Source organism: Homo sapiens, chromosome 11 (genome assembly GCF_000001405.40).
Source record: "Homo sapiens chromosome 11, GRCh38.p14 Primary Assembly".
Taxonomy (NCBI): domain Eukaryota; kingdom Metazoa; phylum Chordata; class Mammalia; order Primates; family Hominidae; genus Homo; species Homo sapiens.
In genome coordinates, this window is record NC_000011.10 from 62,039,697 (window position 1) to 62,061,999 (window position 22,303).

At 46.4% G+C, this 22,303-nt stretch overlaps 1 long non-coding RNA gene across 1 annotated transcript in view, besides 1 other annotated feature; it reads right to left on the bottom strand.

Annotated features, from left to right (window-relative positions):
* Positions 4,555–5,754: an enhancer, noted in NCBI's record as "P300/CBP strongly-dependent group 1 enhancer chr11:61811723-61812922 (GRCh37/hg19 assembly coordinates)". NCBI's record gives its function as "activates an origin of replication core promoter dependent on BRD2, BRD4, P300/CBP, MED14 and CDK7 cofactors, with strong dependence on P300/CBP, by STARR-seq in HCT116 cells {active_cell/tissue: HCT116}" and the evidence as "EXISTENCE:reporter gene assay evidence [ECO:0000049][PMID:35650434]".
* The window catches only part of LINC02733 (long intergenic non-protein coding RNA 2733), a 32,467-nt gene continuing 20,323 nt past the window's right edge, over positions 10,160–22,303 (bottom strand). The window contains exons 2-3 of the long non-coding RNA NR_183616.1: positions 16,056–16,232; positions 10,160–12,572 (exon numbers count right to left, since the gene is read on the bottom strand). This is a non-coding gene — a long non-coding RNA (long intergenic non-protein coding RNA 2733). The remainder of the gene's footprint in view (positions 12,573–16,055; positions 16,233–22,303) is intronic.

A 22,303-nucleotide genomic window follows, 5' to 3' on the forward strand; every position in this document is an offset into this window, starting at 1 on the left:
TCGGCCTCCCAAGTAGCTGGGATTACAGGTGCCTGCCACCATGCCTGGCTAATTTTTGTATCTTTAGTAGAGACGGGGTTTCACCATGTTGGCCAGGCTGGTCTTGAATTCCTGACCTCAGGTGATCCACCTGCCCCGGCCTCCCAAAGTGCTGGGATTACAGGTGTGAGCCACTGTGCCCAGCAGACACAGTGTAAGTATTACAGTCCTGTGTAAGTATTCCTATATATCAGGTCTAGCAAACTTATTCTGTAAAGCACAGATAATAAACATCTTAGGCTTCGTGGGTACAGCTGGTTTCTGTTGCATATACATTCTTCTTCTTTTTTTAAAATAGAGATGAGGTCTCACAATTTACCCAGGCTGGTCTCAAACTCCTGGGCTCAAGTGATCCTCTTACCTCAGCCTCAGATTACAGGCATGAGCCACCACTCCCAGCCTACATTCTTTCTTTCTTTTTTTAAAAAGAAAAATGTGGCCAGGTGTGGTGGCTCACGCCTGTAATCCCAGCACTTTGGGAGGCTGAGGCGGGTGGATCACCTGAGGTCAGAAGTTCAAGACCAGCCTGGTCAACATGGTGAAACCCCGTCTCTACTAAAAATACAAAAATTAGCTGGGCGTGATGGCGGGCGCCTGTAATCCCAGCTACTCAGGAGGCTGAGGCAGGAGAATCGCTCGAACCTGGGAGGCAGACAGAGGTTGCAGTGAGCCGAGATCGTGCCATTGCGCTCCAGCCTGGGCAACAAGAGCGAAATTTCGTTCCAAAAAAATAAAATAAAATAAATAAATAAATAAATAAATGAAAAATGTAAAAACTATTTAAAAATGTAAACATTGTTCTTAGCTTGCAGGCTGTACAAAAACAGGTTGTTGGGGTTGGCTTTGGCCCACGGGCTGCAGTTTGCTGACCTCTGCTTTCTGCTATTCGGTGCATGCGAGAAACATTTCTCCAGGAGTGCAACGGTTTGCACGTCTTTTGCCTCACTGGATGGTGCCCATCTTAAATTCAGCATATGGAAAATGGAAATTTCATCTTCTCAAGCAAATGAATCTGTGGGTACCAGCTTCCTGGGGAAAATGACATTCCGGTGGTTGCTATGGGATCTGAGCCCTCTGCAATGTCTTCCCCCTTCATTCCAGATGGTAGTGAATGGCACTGCTGTCCAGCAGGTGCCCATCAGAGTGGGTCAGGGAGGGTGGTACCAGACAGGTCAGAGGTGGGTCACAATGGGCATTGAGGCTAGGTGGGGAGCTTGGATTTTATTCCACTTGTAATAGAAAACCAGTTTAGGAGGTGGAGCAGGATGGTGACAAATGAGCTATGTTTTAAAAGGATCACTTTGGGCCGGGTGTGGTGGCTCACTCCTGTAATCCCAGCAGTTTGCTAGGCTGAGGTAGGTGGATCATCTGAGGTCAGGAGTTCGAGAATAGGCTGGCCAACATGGCGAAACCCCGTCTCTACTAAAAATACAAATACAAATAATAATAATAATAATAATAATAATAAATAAATAAAATTAGCTGGGCATGGTGGCAGGCACCTGTAATCCCAGCTACTTGGGAGGCTGAGGCAGGAGAATTGCTTGAACCTGGGAGGAGAAGGTTGCAGTGAGCCGAGATTGTGCCATCGCACTCCAGCCTGGGTGACGGAGCGAGACTCTGTCTCAAAAATAATAATAAAATAAAATAAAACAAAAGGATCACTTTGGCTTCTGATAATGGATCTTAGGGGGACAAGAGGGGAGGTAGAAAGGCAGGCAGAAAGCTCCTGAAGGAGTCTCATGATGGGGACATCCACAGCTACAGCCACCCTGCACCTGAGCAAGTCTCTGAGCCATCCCCGCCCTTATCCCCTTGCACATCCTGCAGTCCTATCCCATTTCTGCAGTCCTCTCTCCCCTTACACAGTGAACATAGTTCAAATATCCTGCCCTGGCTGACCCCACTCCTAAGCCCCCAGACACTTTCTCTGTAGACAATTAGGTGACCCTGCTTCACATGTCTTGAGGATAAAATATGACACATGCCTCAAATCTGGGTTTTTTTTAAAAGGGAAATATCTTTTATTTTATTTTAGACAAGTCTTGCTCTGTTGCCCAGGCTGGAGTACAGTGGTGTGATCTTGGCTCACTGCAACCTCTGCCTCCTGGGTTCAAGAAATTCTTGTGCCTCAGCCTCCCAGGTAGCTGAGATTACAGGCACCCACCACCACGCCTGGCTAATTTTTGTATTTTTAGTAGAGACGGGGTTTCCCCATGTTGGCCAGGCTGGTCTCGAGCTCCTGACCTCAGGTGATCCACCCACCTCAGCCTCCCAAAAGTGCTGGGATTACAGGCGTGAGCCACTGTGCCCAGCCATGACTGTTTTCCCACTGAACTTTAGACAACTGTATCTTTGAGTCTTATCTTTGCAGTTCAGCTGACCACAGGCAATTGAGTGGGCCTTGAAGGAAAGAATGTGGAACTGAATCTGTTATCTGGCAGCCACCTGGGAGACTGGCAGGGCAGAGACGGTTCTGACTGTGGTGATTAGGAAACAGGGCCGCGTGGATGCACCTGCAGACTGGGTCACCAGAAAAGATACAGATCACTGGAGTGTGTGAGACCAAACTGGAATCCATGGGGCACGTGACATCCTCGAAAGAGTAAAGGCAGGTGGGGTGAGTTAGAGTGGTTGCAGTAATAGTGGCACACACGCTGTGCCACGGGGAGTGAGCTGGAGGTGCCCAGGGCTGGGGCCGCCCTATAATGCCAGCTGGAACACACCTTGCTGTTGCTTAACTAAGAGTGAGCCTCTCTTATCGCTCCTCCTGCAACGTTAACTACCATAAACTGTTAGCAGTTGTTACAACCGCCTCTGCCCCAAGATACCTTGGCTCCACTCCCACCTGTTCTCTGAGAAGCTGCAATACAAATTAACTCATCAAAAAAGGTCAAGACATCCAGTTAGTTTGGAATAAAGGGAGAAGAAGAGGAGGGAAGTAGAACTGACTGTTGGAGGAGGGGGCAGAGGAGTGGATTGGAAAAGGATAAATACTGTTTTTTACAATTGTAAACAAGTTATTTATAATATTATAATAAAGGATATGTTTTATTAAAAATACAGCAGATTATTTCAAGGTAGGCTAAACTAGTACTACACACACTGTGTCCCTGGGACAGGACCTGGTCCATGAACTGTTGGTTACCAGTCTGAGAAGAAGTAAGTAGAGAAGTTAAGAGAAATTCTTTAGAAAGTTTTGTAGCAATTGGACAGCACAATTTTCTGTCTGTTGTGAAAGGAAAATAAATCTTGGGACTCCAAAATCACCAAGCTAAAGGGAAAAATCAAGCTGGGAACTGCTTAGGCCAAACCTGCTTCCTGTTCTATTCAAAGTTATCCCCCTGAGGCTCACCTAAGACAAATGCATATCTGATTGCTTCCCCTGCCCTATTTATTTATTTATTTATTTATTTATTTATTTATTTATTTATTTTTGCGATGGAGTTTCACTCTTCTTACCCAGGCTGGAGTGCAATGGCCTGGTCTCGGCTCACCGCAACCTCCACCTCCTGGGTTCAAGCGATTCTCCTGCCTCAGCCTCCCGAGTAGCTGGGATTACAGGCATGCACTGCCACGCCTGGCTAATTTTGTATTTTCAGTTGAGACGGGGTTTCTCCATGTTGGTTAGGCTGGTCTCAAACTCCTGACCCCAGGTGATCCACCCGCCTCGGCCTCCCAAAGGGCTGGGATTACAGGTGTGAGCCACCGCGCCTATCTGCCCTACCATTTATGTAAAAATGAAGATTCACTGAGACAGCCTTCAGTGGAAGGCTGATCAAGGACTCAAAAGAATGCAACCTTCTGTCTCTTATCCACTTCTAACCTGGAAGCCCCCACTTCCAGTTGTCCCGCCTTGCTGGACCGAATCAATGTACATCTTACATGTATTGATTGATGTTTCATGTCTCTCTAAAATGTATGAAAGCAAACTGTACCCCTGATGACCTTGGGCACATGCCTCAGGACTTCCTGAGGCTGTGTCACAGGCATGTCCTTAACCTTGGGAAAATAAAGTCTCTAAATTGACTGAGACCTGTCTCAGATATTCGGGGTTCACACTGTTGAATGTAATCATGAGAATGGGACCTGTATTTTGTAAGTCTTTAAAAAAATTTTCAACTTCCCAGTAATTTCTAATGTACTATACGGAAGTATTGGTCTCTGAGCCCTGGCAGTGAAGAAAAATAGCCTGGTTCTTCAGCCCAGGGATTCTGAGAAGCATTGAGTCCAATTTGGGGAGGTGTGGGGGTTGGGGGGAAGAGGCTGAAGCATTGAGACCTGTGTCCCTCTGGGAAAGGCAGTATTTGGACACTGGCCCTCTAAAGAGAGTGCACACGGTGTTGGGCAGAGAAGCAGCCACGTCCAAAGAGGAGAGGCCACTACAAAGAACAAAGAATAAACAACTCACCATGGGCAGTCCCATCGGATTTCCTCGTCCTTGTCCCAAACTCAACACCGAAAGAATAAGCACAGAGCAAGAGAGTGTGAGAAAGTAAACCACCCTCCTTGCTCACCTCCCCATCTCCCTCGCTTAGCTTTCTGGGCAGCCTTGAGGGGAGATTTGAAACAAATGACATTGAAGTGTTTTTTGTTTTTTTTTTGAGACGGAGTCTCTCTCTGTCGCCCAGGCTGGAGGCAGCGGTGCGATCTCGGCTCACTGCAACCTCTGCCTCCTGGGTTCAAGCGATTCTCCTGCCTCAGGCTCCCGAGTAGCTGGGATTACAGGTGCACACCACCACGCCCGGCTAATTTTTGTATTTTTAGTAGAGACGGGGTTTCACAGTGTTGGTCAGGCTGGTCTCGAGCTCCCGACCTCAGATGATCCACCCGCCTCAGTCTCTCAAAGTGCTGGAATGACAGGCATGAGCCACCGCGCCTGGCCCAAACTCTGTAAAATATTTTAAGAGATTTATTCTGAGCCAAACACGAATGACCATGGCCCATGACGCAGCCCCCAGGAGACCCTGAGAACATGTGCCTGTCACGCGCTTCCATGTGAAGAGACCTCCTAACAGGCTTTGCGTGAGCAATAAAACTTTTTATTTCGCTTGGGTGCAAGTGGGCTGAGTCAGAAAAGAGTCAGCAAAGGGAGATGGGGTGGGGCAGTTTTATAGGATTCGGGTAGGTAGGTGGAAAATTACAGTTAAAGGGGGTTGTTCTCTTGCAGGCAGGAGTGGGGGTCACAGGGGGCAGGGTGGGGAGCTCATGAGACTCATTGTCCAGGGGAGGAATGTCACAAGGTTGATTGATTAGTTGGGGTGGGGCAGGAACAAATCACAAGGGTGGAATGGCATCTTTTGTGGTTCTTCAGTTGCTCCAGGCCATCTGGATGTATACGGGCAGGTCACAGGGGTTATGATGGCTTAGCTTGGGCTCAGAGGCCTGACAGTACCCAAGGTGGTCGGGATACAGCTTGGTTTTATACATTTTAGGGAGGCATGAGACATCAATCAAGTACTTTTAAGAAATACATTGGTTTGGTTTAGAAAGGGAGGACAACTCAAAGCGGAGGGCTTCCAGGCTATAGGTAAATTTAAACATTTTCTGGTTGACAATTGGTTGAGTTTGTCTAAAGACGTGAGATCCATAGAAACGAATGTTCAGGTTAATGATAAAGGATTGTAGAGACCAAGTTTTATCGTTCAGAGGAAGCTCTTATAAAGCGGACTTCAGAGAGAGCAGTTTGTAAATTGTTTTTTAGCGGACTTTAAATTTTGGCTTTGTATTTTTTAGTGCCTGGCTCTTAGTTGATTATCTCCTGGATGTGGGAAGAAAGGAAGGAAAACAAAGGGGAAAGGGGATTCTGTATAGAATGTGGATTTTTCCCACAAGAGACTTTGGAGAGCAATTTCAAGGTATGGCAAGGAAATAGATTTTGGGGCAAAACATTTTGATTTTCTTTCTTGTTATGCCAGAGTCAGATTGGAAAGTAAGTCATGATATGCAGGGTCAAACAAAACCCAACTGATGAGAACTTATGGTTTGTAGGGCATGACTCCCCAGACTCCTTAGATAGGAATCTGGGCAAGATAAAAAATCAGAGCTTAGTTCTCAATGCCAATCAACAAGGTGAGCAGTTCTCAAAGCAGCACAGACTCTGGGTAGGAATTGATCAGATTACTGTGAAAACGGGCTTCTTTCATAATCACAGAGGTGGATCTAGAAGGCTGGTAGAAGTTTAATTGACAAGAACAATTTGTTTGGTTTTGTTGGCTAGAAGGCAAAGGAAAGAATACAATAGAATGCCAGAATGCCAAAGGGCTTCTTGGTAATTGAATCACATTAAGTGACTCAGAGTTATTTACACCCAAAGCAGATGAAAACTGGCTCATACCTGTAAAACTGGCTCACGCCTATAAAACTGGCTCACACCTGTAATCCCAGCACTTTGGGAGGCCGAGGCAGGTGGATCATGAGGGCAGGAGATTGAGACCATCCTGGCTGACATGGTGAAACCCCATCTCTACTACACATATAAAAAAATTAGCTAGGCCTGGTGGCATGCACCTGTAGTCCCAGCTACTCAGGAGGCTGAAGCAGGAGAATCGCTTGAACCTGGGAGGCAGAGGTTGCAGTGAGCTGAGATCACGCCACTCAACTCCAGCCTGGGTGACAGGCAAGACTCCATATCAAACAACAACAACAACAAAAAAAACAGGTTCAAAGAGCACCTTTGGTGTTGTCTATAATTGCACTAGATAGCGATAAGGAAGATAAGGAAGAGCTGCTTTGGAATTACTTTTTTTTTTTTTTTTTGGCACGGAGTCTTACTCTTGTCACCCAGGCTGGAGTGCAGGGGTGTGATCCTGGCTCACTGCAACCTTTGCCTCCCAGGTTGAAGCAATTCTCTGCCTCAGCCTCCCGAGTTGCTGAGATTACAGGCGTCTGCCACAATGCCTGGTTAATTTTTTGTGTTTTTAGTAGAGATGGGGTTTCACCATGTTGGCCAGGCTGGTCTTGAATTCCTGACGTCAGGTGATCCACCCGCCTTGGCCTCCCAAAGTGCTGGGGTTACAGGCATGAACCACCGCACCTGGCCTGCTTTGGAATTATTAAGATCAGCCAACCAGGATTGTAACATCCCTGGTTACAAATAGTACAAGAGAAGCAAGAAACTCCCTGTATCCGAGGAGAACAGTAGTGTCACCATGCACCACTAAGACAGGCAGTTCCTTGTCCAGAATGGGCAGAAAAGGCTGGCTCCTCATCCCAGTCCCTCCTTAGCTGGGTCAACATAACCTGCCTCAGAGTCCCCGGCTTGCTGGAACACCTCCCATTTCCTACACTGTGCACCCCGAACATAGTCCTAGAAATGCACAGTGGGGAGATAATGTGGGTGACTGGAAAGTGGTGCTTTACTCCTGTGCCCAGCAAAGGGGTCCCCAGGGCAGAGGCCAGGGAGCACCCCACAAGGCTGACCCGGCACCCTCAATGTTACTTTGCCCAGGTCTCTTTCCAGAACACTCACTTGTATCCTCCTGTACATAAGCTAAATTTCTCATTTTTTGGGAAAAGGGCTAGGTGGTTATTTTTTATTTTCAGAGATCCTCAAAGGGCAAAGCCAACCAAAAGGGGACTTTGGATGAGCAGCCAGCTCCCCTAGCTTAGTCCTCAGGCCTGGCCAGTGCCGCAGGAGGCTCTGAGAACCCTTGGAGGTCCCACTACCCAGAGTTATTTGCTTATTCAATTAGTAAATATCAGTGTAAAGAATGGAAGGGTGGAGGGTGCCAACAGCACAGCTCCCACACTCCAGAGAGCCTCTGCTCACCCAGCTCATCGCCATTCTCCAGACCGGCTGGGCTGCTTCCTTTTTACCGGATCCAAGCCACAGAGCAGGGCCACCTCAGATTATTCTTTCTCTTTCATGCTCCCTTCCCTGTCCTCCTTCCCTGCTCCCCACTATCTCATCCATCACCGAACTTTCTCAATCTCACCTCTTACAACTTCCCAAATACTAAATGTTAATAACTGAAGACAATGGGTGCTTGGGGCATGGAGGTTCATTATACAATTCTCTCTCCTTGTGTATGAGTCTGAATGTTTCCAAAACAGAAAATTACATGTAACAAAAGATAAAGGAATACAATATCTCAAGCTGGTCCCCTCTGCTCTGTTACTTGCAGAATCCAGACTTTCACCATCTCCCTTGCCCACTTTGGCCCCCAGCCTCCAACGAGCCCGACCAGCCACCCTTGGATTAGCAGATGTGTTTCCCTCCATGCTGACGTGGATGGTGGCAGGGTCTCCTGTTTCCAGACAATAGTTTAAACTGCCTTTAAGTGAAGGAGTTTTAAGACATGTGATGCAGTTAGGCATGTAGCCAGACATACTTTACCCCAGGCTGGGGCTCAGGGCCCAGGTTCTAGTCCCAGCAACACCTCCAACAGGGTGTTAGAATGAGCTATTTCTTCCACTTCTGTTTTGAAATACACAAAACACAAAAACACCACTAGCCCTGGGCCCAGGCTTTCACTGTCAAAGGGATTTGAAGAATTTTGTCATCATATATGAATCTCAAAACAGCCCCAGGGGAAGCAGGGCATGTTTTAAGAGGACTTCATCCAATGCTTTCTTGGTATGAACTAAGCACCTTCCCTTCCCTCCCTCTTCCTAGGGGAAGGCTGAGACATGTCTGGCTCCAGTAAATTAACGACCTCATCTCCACTGACTTATTTGTCTGAAACATGTTCAAAAAGCAAAGCAAATAGAAAAGAGGAGAAGTCTTGGAGGAAGAAGGAAAGCAGACACAGGAAATTAGGATAAATGTTTAAAGGCATGTATTTTAGCTTATTAGGATAAATGTTTAAAGGTATGTATTTTAAATTATGCATCAAGAACCAGATTCTTTGGATGACAAAGAAGTTCACAGAGGTGACCTGATCTGGCCAAAGCAATTCTTTTTTTTTTTTTTGTGGGGGTCGGGGGTAATGGAGTCTCACCCTGTTGCCCGGGCTAGAGTGCAATGGCACGATCTTGGCTCACTGCAACCTCTGCCTCCCGGGTTCAAACGATTCTCCTGCATCAGGCTCCCGAGTAGCTGGGGTTACAGGCACCCACCATCATGCCCAGCTAATTTTTGTATTTTTTTTTAGTAAAGGTGGGACTTCACCATCTTGGCCAGGCTGGTCTTGAACTGCTGACCTCCTGACCCGCCCACCTCGGCCTCCCAACATGCTGGGATTACAGGTGTGAGCCACTGCACCAGGCCAAAGTAATTCTTAATAATAATAGTAAGAGTACAAAATACTTACTGTGTATCAGGAGCAGCATAAAGAGCTTTCCTCATGGAAGCCTTACAAGGACCCTATGAGATGAATAGCACCCCCTTTATAGAGATAGGGAAACAGATCCAGAGAGTTACAAGTCCTGGAACCAGGGGTTGATCCCTGCTCTGCTGGACTCCATGGCCCATGCATGGCCCTGACTTTTCTTCCGCATGTCTTCCAGCCCCACCAGATCACTTCCCAGTTAGTGTTGGAACCGGGACAACACCTAGATCTGGCCCAGTGGTCTTTCCTAGTGTTTTCTCAAATGGTATCCAAGGGCTTCCCTGGTTCTAAAACAGAAATAAATAAATGAATGAAGCAAGGAAGGAAGGAGGTATGGAAGGGAGAAAGAGAGAGAGAAATTAAAGAGGTGCCAAAGATTCTCAGACTTTTTCTTTTCTTGCTCTTGTCGCCCAGGCTGGAGTGCAATGTCGTGATCTTGGCTCACTTCCTCCCAGGTTCAAGCAATTCTCCTGCCTCAGCCTCCCAAGTAGCTGAGTTTACAGGCATGCACCACCATGCCTGGCTAATTTTGTATTTTTTAGTGGAGACAGGGTTTCACCATGTTGGTCACGCTGGTCTCAAACTCCTGACCTCGGGTGATCCACCTGCCTCGGCCTCCCAAAGTGCTGGGATTACAGGCATGAGTCACCATGCCTGGCAATTCTCAGACTTTCAAAGCCAGTGATACCAGAGTGCTCAGTCCTTTGACCTCCACCTCCAAGCTCATATCTTCTTCCCCTCTCCCATCCTGTTCACAGCCTCACAGGACAGTGTAGCCTGCCACGATCCCTGTTGGACTGAACAAAGGGGGCTAACATGGGAATAAAAGACAAGGACATAAGAGTATATTTGGAAGAATGGGTCAGGGGGCATCTTGCCTCTAGTGGACAAGGGCCCCAAGCTTTACACAGCCCTCCGTATTTATTGGTAAAAGAGATAACAAGAAGGGGGGATGGTTGTCAGCCGGCAGTTTGATTCACAGCAAGCTTGCAAGACTGCATCCTTTGAACAATAGGTGCTAGATTTACCAGTAGATAACTTTAAGGAGCCCGGTGCCACGGAATGATGACCCTCAGCAAGCCTCCTGGCGGCAGGCGCAGTCGTGAGTTTGCTCACATCCTGCATTCATGATAAACAGTTTGCTGTTTGATCACATAGCCTCCAGTGGAATGCTGAGTTGGTCACAATCCCTTTGGCCTTTTCAGCACCCAACATCTCCCCTTTTCTGTTTATGTATTAATTGAAAGAATGTAAGGCCAGGCTGGGCAGCTCTCATTTTCCAATTGGCGGTCCATCCAATTTTACAGACTATGAACAGAAGACAGAGACAAAACCACATTATTCCAAGAACTGCATATAAGATGGTAATGTGGTGCCTTAGATAGGTCCAAGGGTTGAGGCTCTCCAGGCCTTGCTGGAATTCAGTCCAGTCTTCTAAAGAAGGCTGAAATTCTTGAGTTTGCCTATTTAAATCAAGAATTTTGTTTTGTAATTCACCAATATCAAAGGTGATGTTGGATGTGAACGCTCCCTGCAAATGGGCTTTCGCAAGGTCCCACGGATACTCACTTTGGTTATATTCTAAGTTGTTTACACAAATATGAGTGTTATTAAAATGATAACGCAATTGCTGTTGCAACTGCAAGTTTTGTACTTGTTCTCCTAACCATAGAACCATGGATTTTAACATTGCCACTTAAGCTTATAACTCAGTGTTAATTTTATTCTGAAGTAGCCACACTTGTTTGGCTGTGTGCGTCCAGTTCTCCACGTACTGAGCTGTTTGAATAGAATTATGCAAAGCTACAGAAGACATCACGACAAAAGTTATTAGTGTGACCAAGGAAACGATAGCAAAAATTATCATGCCTAAGGCTCTACAGACACAATGAGTAAGCTGAGTTAGAAGAAGTTTCACAAAATGCCAGGCAGGTGTGGCAGCCCAAGGCTCAGACAGATTAACAGGAATCCATCACCCAGGGATGCAACCTAAAATCATCAAAGTAGAGAGATTATGTGTTTGCCATGTGCTATGATGAATGCAGTTATATAACTGGCAAGATTTACAGGTTAATTCGGTATTGTTTACCTGGAACTGGTCCTTCTTAGCTGCCAAAAAGACATAAGGATTAAACACACAAACTGTAAATTGAGTGGTGATATCTTTACAAATGTAACATTAGACTGCATTGCTTACTATTGCTATTATTGGATAGTATCCTAATCCAGATGCTGCGATTCGTAAATGGGAGTGCTGCCTTCCACATCATCTCTTTAATTGGTCCTTTCCTCCCTAGATAATGCCACTGAGGAAGAGGCGGGCTAAAGCTTGCTCCGTGCCAAGCAATCTGGGTAGCAGACTGGGATTGGATCCCAGTATTGTATAAAGAAGAAGCATTAAAAGCTTGCCACCAATGCCAGCGAAGTTTGTGCCATGATTTCTGATTTTCATCTTTTCCATCTAATTGATCTTTAGGTCCCCAATCCACAATGTCTCCAGTTAACATAGATTGTTTTCTAGCCAGTGGACCAAGACACTGGGTCCATAGATGGGGGTAGGAAATACTGAATGGAACCCATTCCGTATAATCAGCACAATTAGGGTGATTGGGCCAGGAATGGTTGGTTAGCACACCAGTTACGTTAATAGAACCAAGACTTAACAGGTGCATGACTTTTTCATAGTGACTCAACCATGTTTGAGCTTGAATTTAAGACAGCTATGGCTGAGCGATGTCTTTGTGGTGATACACAAAGGAAGTCCTTCCAGTGGAGCAGTATAATTAATGACATTATTCTGAGAGTCTAACTGTTCTATGTCAGGGGGAGTCAGGAGTCCTGGAGCCCACTCTCCCTGATCATGATAAAGCTCAGGAGGAGTGTCACTCCAAAGAATAGGTCATACTACTGGGGGATTGGGAACATATGCCCAATATGTTTTTGCCTCTGCACAGGGAAAACATATCACATTGGACATTATGGCTAACATGGCCAAGAACATGGAATCAGGGGTTCTGGCCTGTCCCTGATGCTACAGTAGTTTCTCAGCTTCCTGCATGGTTTTCTTGAGTTGTCCCCAGCTTATGGGGGTTGATGTCATTGGGCTCTGGTCGGACTTCTCTCTGTCTTTGCACTCAGGCTCAGCTGGCTCACGGCTCGTACCGGAGGGACCGGGCCCATGGTTGGCCACCCTGGGCTCCTCAAGTCTCCCGTTCCATGGTCGCACACACCTTGAGGGCACCCACACGGCTTATCCATCTCCTGTAAAAACACAAGCATACCCTCGTCCCCATATTAGTAAATACACCAGACCTTTCCATTGTCCTTCTTCCGGGGATTTCTATAACACTTTCAGATAAACTTTCCTCTTTTCATCTAACAATTGCCAATGTCTTTCTTCTGGAGTCTTACCATTCATACCAGGAGTCAAAAAATTTAAGGTAAATAAGGCTAAATGTAGTTTTGATTGAGGTGGTAGTTGGCCTCCTATATCCCTTTTTTGTCTTTTCAATATGCATTGTAATGTTTGATGTGCCTGCTCTATAATGCCTTGTCCTTTAGGGTCATAAGGAATTCCTGTTTTATAGGTTATAGCCCAAAGCTGTAAGAAATTTTTAAAAGTGTGACTAGTATTAGCAGGTCCATTGTCAGTTTTTAATTGTTTAGGTATCCCCATATGAGCAAATGATGACAGACAATGTCACTGTACATGACCAGCTGTCTCACCTGTTTGGCATGTAGCATGCAGCATATGAGAATAAGTGTTTATAATTGCATGAACATAGCTAAGCTTACCAAAGGCTGCTATATGTGATTGTGTGTGTGTGTGTGTGTGTGTGTGTGTATATATATATATATATATATATATATAAAAATATATAATTGTTATACGTGACTGGCTACATTTACAACATAAGCTGAATCACAGACAACGTTGATAGGATCTGAAGCTGTGAGCTGTAAAACCTGAATGACTGCAATTAGTTCTGAGCATTGAGCTGAAACCCCAGAGGTCATTATTGTTTCCAGACTTTTTTGGAATAACAAATTCCGGTGAATTCCAGGGGCTAACTGACGTTTCTATATGTCCTGCATTCAATTGCTCTTTTACCAACAGGTGAAGTTGACCTAGCTTCTCCTGTGTTAGGGGCCATTGATCCACCCACACAGGTTTGTCACTAAGCCATTCTAATGATAAGGCAGGGGGCGGAGGAGAAATATCAATGACCCCCATCAGAAATCCTGACGTCCTAATGCTTTTCTATCTGTTTTTCCAGTTACTGATATCAGGTTAGGGTTTCCTTGTAGAAATTTCCCTAAACCTTTTCTACTCTGATATCTCATGACCTTCAACATTTTAAATTCTGGTTATCAAAGTTTTCATTTATAAGCCTCATATCCCATGCTGTAAGTAAGTCTCAACCCCATAAATTGACAGCTATATTTGCAACATAAGGCTGAAAAGTACATGACTGTCCATCTGGACCAAGACAAGGTAAAATCTCAGCATTTGTTGAACACTTTGAGCTGTTCCTACTCCCAATAGGGACATAGAAGTTAATTGCAAGGGCCAGGATGGGGGCCAATTGTCTTTAGATACTACTGACACATCAGCTCCTATATCCATAAGCCCATAAAATTTCTTTCCTTTAACTTGTATTACACAGGTGGGTCTACTAGAGGCTATGGGTTGGGATAGATAGATTTCCCATGCAGTTGTGCTCCCGAACCCTTTGTTTCCTTGCATCTCCTTTTGTGGAGAAGGGTGTAATTTGCAGGGAATAAGCAATAGCTGAGCAATATATTCTCCCAGTTCAAAAACCCAAAGATCTTGCGACATTAAAACTACTTGAATTTATCCTTCATAATCAGAGTCAATCACTCCCGGGACTACAGTGATGCCCTGTAAGTTAAGATGGCTTTTGCCTAAAATTAATCCTGTGTATCCTGTTGGTAAAGGTCGCCAAATACCAGTGGGAACTTTGATAGGTTTGTCTCCACCAACTACTGTTATTCTTTCTCTGGCAGGTAGGTCTAATCCTGCACTTCCTGGTGTTCCTGGGGTGAGGGAATCAATGTGCCTCTGGGAACCCATCCCTGAAATGGGGTTGAGGTCTGGACTGGGAATGCCCTCATTGTTTGAGGGGCCTGGGTCCAGGCCCCTGTCTCGTTTCCCGACGGGGGTGCTATTTTGATGAAATTTTGAGTGGCACTGATTAGCCCAGTGATTTTCTTTGTTACAGCGAGGACAAAGTCCTGGCATTTTTTTCCGCTGAGTGGGGCACTGCATTGTAAGGTCCTTTCTGTCCTGAGATCTGGTGGCATTCCTTTTTAAAATGTCCAGTTTTTCCATAATTATAACATTTTCCCATTTTAGAGTTTGACCCTTGGCTCCTTTTAGATTTGTCAACTGCTGAATTAGCCATTGCTTGCACTAACATTGCAGATGGATGAAGCTCAGTTCCTACATCCTGACAAGCTCAGAGAAAATTTCCCAAGTTTTTTGTACACCTCACTGGTGCCAGTGCACGTTTACAATCCGCGTTTGCATTCTCAAAAGCTAGAGTTAAGGTTAGCATTTCTGCAGCCGCAGTGTGAGGAATATGACACTTCACTGCCTCTTGTAATCTTGCAAGAAATTGCGCATAGGGCTCCTGTGACCCTTGCATGATATGTAAGAAGGATTGTGCTGGGACTCCCTCTTCAGGAATTGTGGCCCAGGTGCATTTAGCAACCTGTGCACACTGCTGATAAGCAGCCTCTGGGAGTGTCATTTGTCGTTCCAGGTCTGAATAAGGGCCATTACATAACAGCATATCCTTTATAAATATCTCCATGTCCAGCAACACGATTCTGTCTAGCCTGCTCTGCACACATTTCTTGCCAATTTAAATTCCATGTCAGATATGCACTAGTGGACAAGCAAGTTCACACCAAGTGTTTCACATCAAAGGGTAAAAGACACATAGCACTGAACACAGATTCTAGCAATCCTAAAGTGAATGGGCTCCATATGCCATTATTTACTACACTCGCTTTTAATTCCTTCAACAACTTAAACTCTAGTGGAGTGTGTTCATGAATAACCTGCTGTGGATTATTTGGATCAGGCCTTATGGAAATAGGAAAAGCATAAGGTCCTAAGGGCTCTCCAGCCATGGCAGCAGAGCATAAAATTCTTTGTATTGGGGTCTCTATTTCTGCCACTGAAGGAGGCAGTACAGACATTTCTGCAACTGGAGGAGGTGGTATAGGCCAATTTTTATCCTCCCTCTCCTGTTTCTTATTTTCAATTGGAGCTGTGGGTGGGACAACAGATTCTTTCAGATTTTTAGATTCAGCCTGCTGTCCTGCAGAATAATAAGGAGATAATGGCAGAAGCATAGTACGAACTAAACTCCAAGTGGAGAAAACAGAAGAATCAACTTTAAGACCTTTTTGATGAGCCCATTTTAATCCTTCTGCTGTTCTGTCCCAGTTTTCCACATCAAGAGTGCCTGCCTGTGAAAACCATAGGTTATGCAAAATAACCTCCTGCAGCAGCTTAGTTAGTGTCTGAGAACTAACCTGAGCCCCAAACTGTCTCAACAGAACTTTGAGAAACTGCAGATAATGTTATTCTTCAATAGGCAAATTCTGCCCCATGTTACCCTGATTGCAAAAACTTCCCGTCCAGGACTTCTTTAAAGCACTGCTTCCAATACCTCTTTAGGACACTGATCAGTACCTCTTTAGGGCACTGACCTTATATCTGCTGCTGGCAGACTCGTTCCGGGGTCCGTGTTTGCCTTGTCAATTTCAGTTCCTCTGCTCCAGCAGACCTTCTTCGCTCACATCCTTGAAGTCCTGTGTTCAGACGCCACTTGTTGTGCGCCTGATTGTGTTGCTGTTTGGGGTGCCACTTGTAGACAGCCATGATCCCTGGTGGATCAAACAAAGGGGGCAAATGCAGGAGTAAAAGATAAAGACAAAAGAGTATATTTGGAAGAATGGGTCAGGGGCACTTTGCCTCTAGTGGACAAGGGGCCCCAGCTTTACACAGCCCTCCATATTTATTGGTAAAAGAGATAACAAGAAGGAGGGGGAGTGGTTGTCCGCCGGCAGTTTGATTCACAGCAGGCTTGCAAGACTGCATCCTTGGAACAATAGGTGCTAGATTTCCCAGCAGATAACTTCAAGGAGCCCAGCGCCAGGGAGTGATGACCCTCAGCAAGCCTCCTGGAGGCAGGCACAGTCGTGAGTTCGCTCACATCCTGCATTCATGATAAACAGTTTGCTGTTTGATCATATAGCCTCCAGTGGAATGCTGAGTTGGTCATGATCCCTTTGGTCTTTTTGGCTCCCAACAGGTCAGGATGGTTGCAGGGGTCCTGTAATCATCTCTCAGTCCTTGCTAATCCATGTATAAGGTGCAGTTCCTCTGGTGTTAATGTCTAGCAAATGGACTTTGTATCTTAATATGAAGGAAAGGGAAGGTGCTATGGTCTAAATGTTTGTGTCTCCCCACCTAACCCCCAAGGTGATGGTATCAGGAGGCAGGGCCATTGGGAAGTGATTAAGTCATGAGAGCAGACTTAATGTGCTCTCATGCATGGGATAAGTGTCCTTCGAGGCCCTAAAGAGACCCCTCACTCTAGAAGATGCCGTCTGTGAACCAGAAAGCAGGCCCTCCCCAGATACCAAATCTGCAGGCACCTTGATCTTGGACTTCCCAGCCTCCAAAACTGTGAAAAAAAGAAAGAAAAAAAAAAAAATATATATATATATATATATGAGATGGGGTCTTATTCTGTCACCCAGGCTTGAGTGCAGTGGTGCGATCATAGCTCACAGCAGCCTCAACCTTTCAGGTTCAAGCAGTCCTTTCACCTCAGCCTCCCAAGTAGGTGGGACTACAATTGTGTGCCACCATGTCTGGTTAATTTTTTTAAAAAAAAATTTTTGTAGAGTCAGGGTCTCCCTGTGTTGCCCAGGCTGGTCTTGAGGCTCAAGGTCCTGGGCTCAAGCCATCCTCCAATCTCGGCCTCTCAAACTGCTGGGATTATAGGTGTGAGCCACCATGCCCTGCCAGAAATAAATTTGTATTGTTTACAAGCCACCCAGTCTATGGTGTTTTGTTATGGTAGTCTGAACAGACTAAGAAGGTCAAGGGAAAATGACCTTCTCATGAATACTCCCTAAGGAAAGAAGCTATTGACCTGCTTACTGAAGTTTTGCTGACATTGACTGCTTGCAGGGTGCTGTCCTTAGTGCTTTATTTAATCCTCACCGTTCCCCTGAGAGTAGGGCCTATCATTTCTAATTTTAGAGATGAAGAAACCAAGGCTCATAGAGGTTGACGGAGGTATTTTATACCATACAACCAGTAATCATGGAGGGGCCATCTGAACCCATGTATTTGATCATTTTATTAAAATACCTCAAAAAAAAACTCTCCTCTTTCTTAAGGAAACAAGCCCATATAAATTTAGTGGAGGGGAAAAATAAATGTAGCAGTAGTGAGAGGTCACTGAACTGTAGCCCTGAGGCTACATTTTGATCTGGGACCTCATATGTAGATCTGAGACCCCATGGAGTGCCCCCTGCTTGTAAGTTTCATGAAGTCAGGGATTGTATCATCCCAAATCCACTGCCCAGAAGGCATGTAGTCATCCTCCAGGAGCCTGGCCCTCTGGAGTGGTACTTCCCAGCTGGCTGCAGAGAAGGCTCAAGCGTGGACACCTGGCAGTGGCCACTGGCTACCAGTCCTGGCTTTGCTTAAATTCCCCATCTGTCTTTGCAGTACATTGTTTTCACTGTTGTTTTTGAGACGGACTCTTACTCTGTCACCCAGGCTGGAGTGCAGTGGTGTGACCTCGGCTCACTGCAACCTCTGCCTCCCAGATTCAAGTGATTCTCGTGTCTCAGCCTCCCAAGTAGCTGTGACTACAGTTACGCACCACCATGTCCAGCTAATTTTTGTATTTTTAGTAGAGACGGGGGTCACCATGTTGTCCAGGCTGGTCCCCAACTCCTGACCTCAAGTGATCCACCCGCCTCGGCCTTCCAAAGTACTGGGATTACAGGTGTGAGCCACTGCACCCGGCCCTGTTTTATTCTTTATCTCAGTGAGGCCATGGTCAAGTTGCTGAAACTCCATATACTTCAGTTTCCTCCTCTGTAAAGTGGGGATAAGAGGAATTTAATAAGGATTATATGAGATAATGCATGTAAAGCATTTGTCTTAGCACGGTGTGGGCGACACGTGCTCCAGAGTCTCGCTGCCATTGCTCCACCTGCACTGGGCCTGCTTCAGTCCCTGAGCCTCTGTCAGGACACATGGGGCCGGCACAGAGAGGTGCATTTCACTATCCCAACTCTGAGATGCAGCCGCTGCTGGGTCTGATCCGGCCTCGAGGCATCTGCTCTCCCACCTCTGCCCTGTCTTTCTCTCATCCCCCCGCCCTGCTGAGCTTGGTCCTTGAGCCCACTCAGAGTGGCTGCTATCACTGTTTGCCTCCCCCACTTGGACCTGGGTCTCATCCAGGCTCTGACCCAGCTGCCAATTGGTGGGAAATCAGAAAGTGAAGCCTGTGTTGAACCGAACCGCGAGGGTGCGACCGGCCAAATCCAGATTGTGGGAAACTGCAGGTCAACAGTTTCTGGAGAATCTGTTATTGGGCTCTGCCCTAGAGAAACTGTAGGGAAGGAACAGATCCTCCAGAAATTAAAGAGGCCAAACAGTCATCTCCAGTTAAACAATGAGCAAGACTACAGAGTTTAGTGATGTACACCTGTGTGGCCAGACTATCAAAAACTCAAGTTTGTGATTCTCATAAAAGTCAGGACAGGGAGCCAGGCGCGGTGGCTCAGGCCTGTAATCCCAGCACTTTGGGAGGCTGAGGCAGGCAGATCACGAGGTCAGGAGTTCGAGACCATCCTGGCCAACATGGTGAAACCCCGTGTCTACTAAAAATACACAAATTAGCTGTGCGTGGTGGCACGTGCCTGTAATCCCAGCTACTCGGGAGGCTGAGGCAGGATAATCACCTGAACCAGGGTGTCAGAGGTTGCAGTGAGCCAAGATCGCACCACTGCACTCGAGCCTTGTGAAAGAGCGAGACTCCGTTTCCAAAAAAAAAAAAAAAAAATGTCAGGACAGGACTGGTGTTGGTGGGGAAGGTTTTTGGTTGGAAATTGGAAAGTTCTATTTTTAGACCTGGGTAGTGGTTACAAAAGTATTCACCTTATAATAATGTATTAAGGCCATATATTTGTTCAGTGTGGGTTTTACCTGTGTGGTTTCTTTTTTTTTTAAGTGTATATTATTTGTGTATGTGTGTAGTACTTGTGGTTTGTTTTCCTGTCTTTGAGACAGAGTCTCTGTCACCCAGGCTGGAGTGCAGTGGCGCTATCTCAGCCTACTGCAACCTCCGCCTCCTGGATTCAAGCGATTTTCGTGCCTCAGCCTCCCAAGTAACTGGGACTACAGGTGTGCACCACTACTCCTAATTTTTTTTTTTTTCGTATTTTTAGTAGAGATGGGGTTTCACCATGTTGGCCAAACTGGTCTTGAACTCCTGACCTCAAGTGATCCGCCCCCCTCAGCCTCCCAAAGTGCTAGAATTACAGGCGTGAGCCACCGTGCCCGACCTGTACTGTGGCTTTTATTTGACAATAAAACAGTTCTTTAAAATGTACCCTGGGGGCAGAGCTGGGCATAGTGGTCCTTGCCTGTAATCCCAGCACTTCGAGAGGCCAAGGTGGGAGGATTGCTTGAGCTCATGAATTTGAGACCAGCCTGGGCAACATGGCAAGACCCCGTCTCTACAAAAAAAATTTAAAAATTAGCCGAGTGTGGTGGTGCGTGCCTGTAGTCCCAGCTACTCGGGATACCGAGTCAGGAGGATTGCTTGAGCCCAGGAGGTTGAGGCTGCAGTGAGCCATGATGGCACCACTGCAATCCAGCCTGGGTGACAGAACAAGACTGTGTCTTTTAAAAAAAGAAAAGAAAGGGCCGGGCGTTGTGGCTCACGCCTGTAATCCCAGCACTTTGGGAGGCCAAGGTGGGTGGATCGCTTGAGGTCAGGAGATCGAGACCAGCCTGGCCAACGTGGTGAAACCCAGTCTCTACTAAAAATACAAAAATTAACCAGGTATGGTGGTGGGTGCCTGCAATCCCAGCTACTCAGGAGGCTGAGGCAGGAGAATTGCTTGAACCTGGGAGGCAGAGGTTGCAGTAAGCCGAGATTGTGCCATTGCACTCTAGCCTGTGCAACAAGAGCGAAACGCCATCTTGAAAAGAAGAGAAAAATATCCCTTGGGTCTAGTCCCAGTGCTGCCACACAAAGGCCACCTCTCTTTCTGCTCTCCCATCCTGCCTTTGTCACAATTCTGACCCGTTTAGAACCTAACCTAAGTCAAGGCCTGGACAGAGTTATTCTAAAGCAAAGTGACTGAGTGTATGTGTGTGTGTGTGTGTGTGTGTGTCTCCAAGTGTACATATTTCCTTTTTACTTCTGAGATTATACCTTCTGGGACAGGTGGAAACCTTTCTTTTTCAAGTCCTTCATCTTCAGTGGCTACTTACCATCCCCATAGCTGGAGTTTAAGGAAATCTATCCCTAAAGAAGGGGTCCAACCTCAGTCTTAACTTTTTTTTTTTTTTGAGACAGAGTTTCACTATTGTTGCCCAGGCTGGAGTGCAATGACACGATCTCCACTCACCACAACCTCCGCCTCCCGTGTTCAAGCAATTCCTCCTGCCTCAGCCTCCCAAGTAGCTGGGATTACAGGTGTGCGCCACCACGCCTGGCTAATTTTGTATTTTTAGTAGAGACGGGGTTTCTCCATGTTGGTCAGCCTGGTCGTAAACTCCCAACCTCAGGTGATCCGCCCACCTCAGCCTCCCAAAGTGCTGAGATTACAGGTGTGAGCCACCGCGCCCAGCCATCTCTCTTTATTTGAGATGGAGTCTCACTGTGTCTCCAAGGCTGGAGTGCAGTGGTGCAATCTTGGCTCACTGCAACCTTCGCCTCCCGGGTTCAAGTGATTCTTGTGCCTCAGTCTCCCAAGTACCTGGGATTACAGGCATGCACCACCACACTCGGCTCCTTTTTTTTTTTTTTTTTTTTTGAGACAGGGTCTCTCTGTTGCTCAGGCTGGAGAGCAGTGGGGCAATCATAGCTCACTGTAACCTTGAACTCCTGGGCTCAAGCGATCCTCCTGCCTTGGCCTCCCAAAGTGCTGGGATTACAGGCATAAGACACCACGCCTGGCTAATTTTTGTATTTTCAGTAGAGAGGGGGGTTTTCGTATGTTTGCCAGGCTGGTCTTGAACTCCTGACCTCAGGTGATCCGCCTGCCTTGACCTCCCAAAGTGCTGGGATTACAGGTGTGAGCCACTGCACCTGGTCTTATTAACTCTCTAGAAGGCCTTAGCAGCCCCAATTTGCTTGCTGAACAGATCTTCCTTGCATGAGTTGGATAAAACTTCTCTCCAAAATTTCATGTATGCACTTTTTACCTGATGAGCAGGTAAGCTTTACATTTTTATCCCACGAGCGCCACCTTCCTATCTCTCTTTGCTATTTTTCTCTCTTTATCTGCACTGCTTGCTTCACATTTACTCCTTTCTGCATTTGGAAAGAGAAGAGGGAAAATGCATTTTAAAAAAAGAGGCGAGAAATGGAAACTAGAGAGGCCTCCCACTGGCCTCCCCCTATGGTGGCGTCCACTTAGCCACTTGGCCTCCGCCGTTCTGCTGCAGAAAAGTCAGTCTGTGTCTACGCTCATCCTGAAAACAGGCAGAGGTAGGAGCAAGGAGGCCTCCCACTGCCTTCTCTGGGGAGGGATCCTAAGTCCCGCGGAACATTTATAGAGTCCCTGCTCTCCAACAAGGCAAGAACCTTGTTGCAAAGGAGCACAAAGATCCCCAGAGAAGCCTGTGCAGGAAAGATAAAATGGAAAAACCCACAGTCAAAAAAGAAAGAAAAACAGCTGTGGCATTCCGA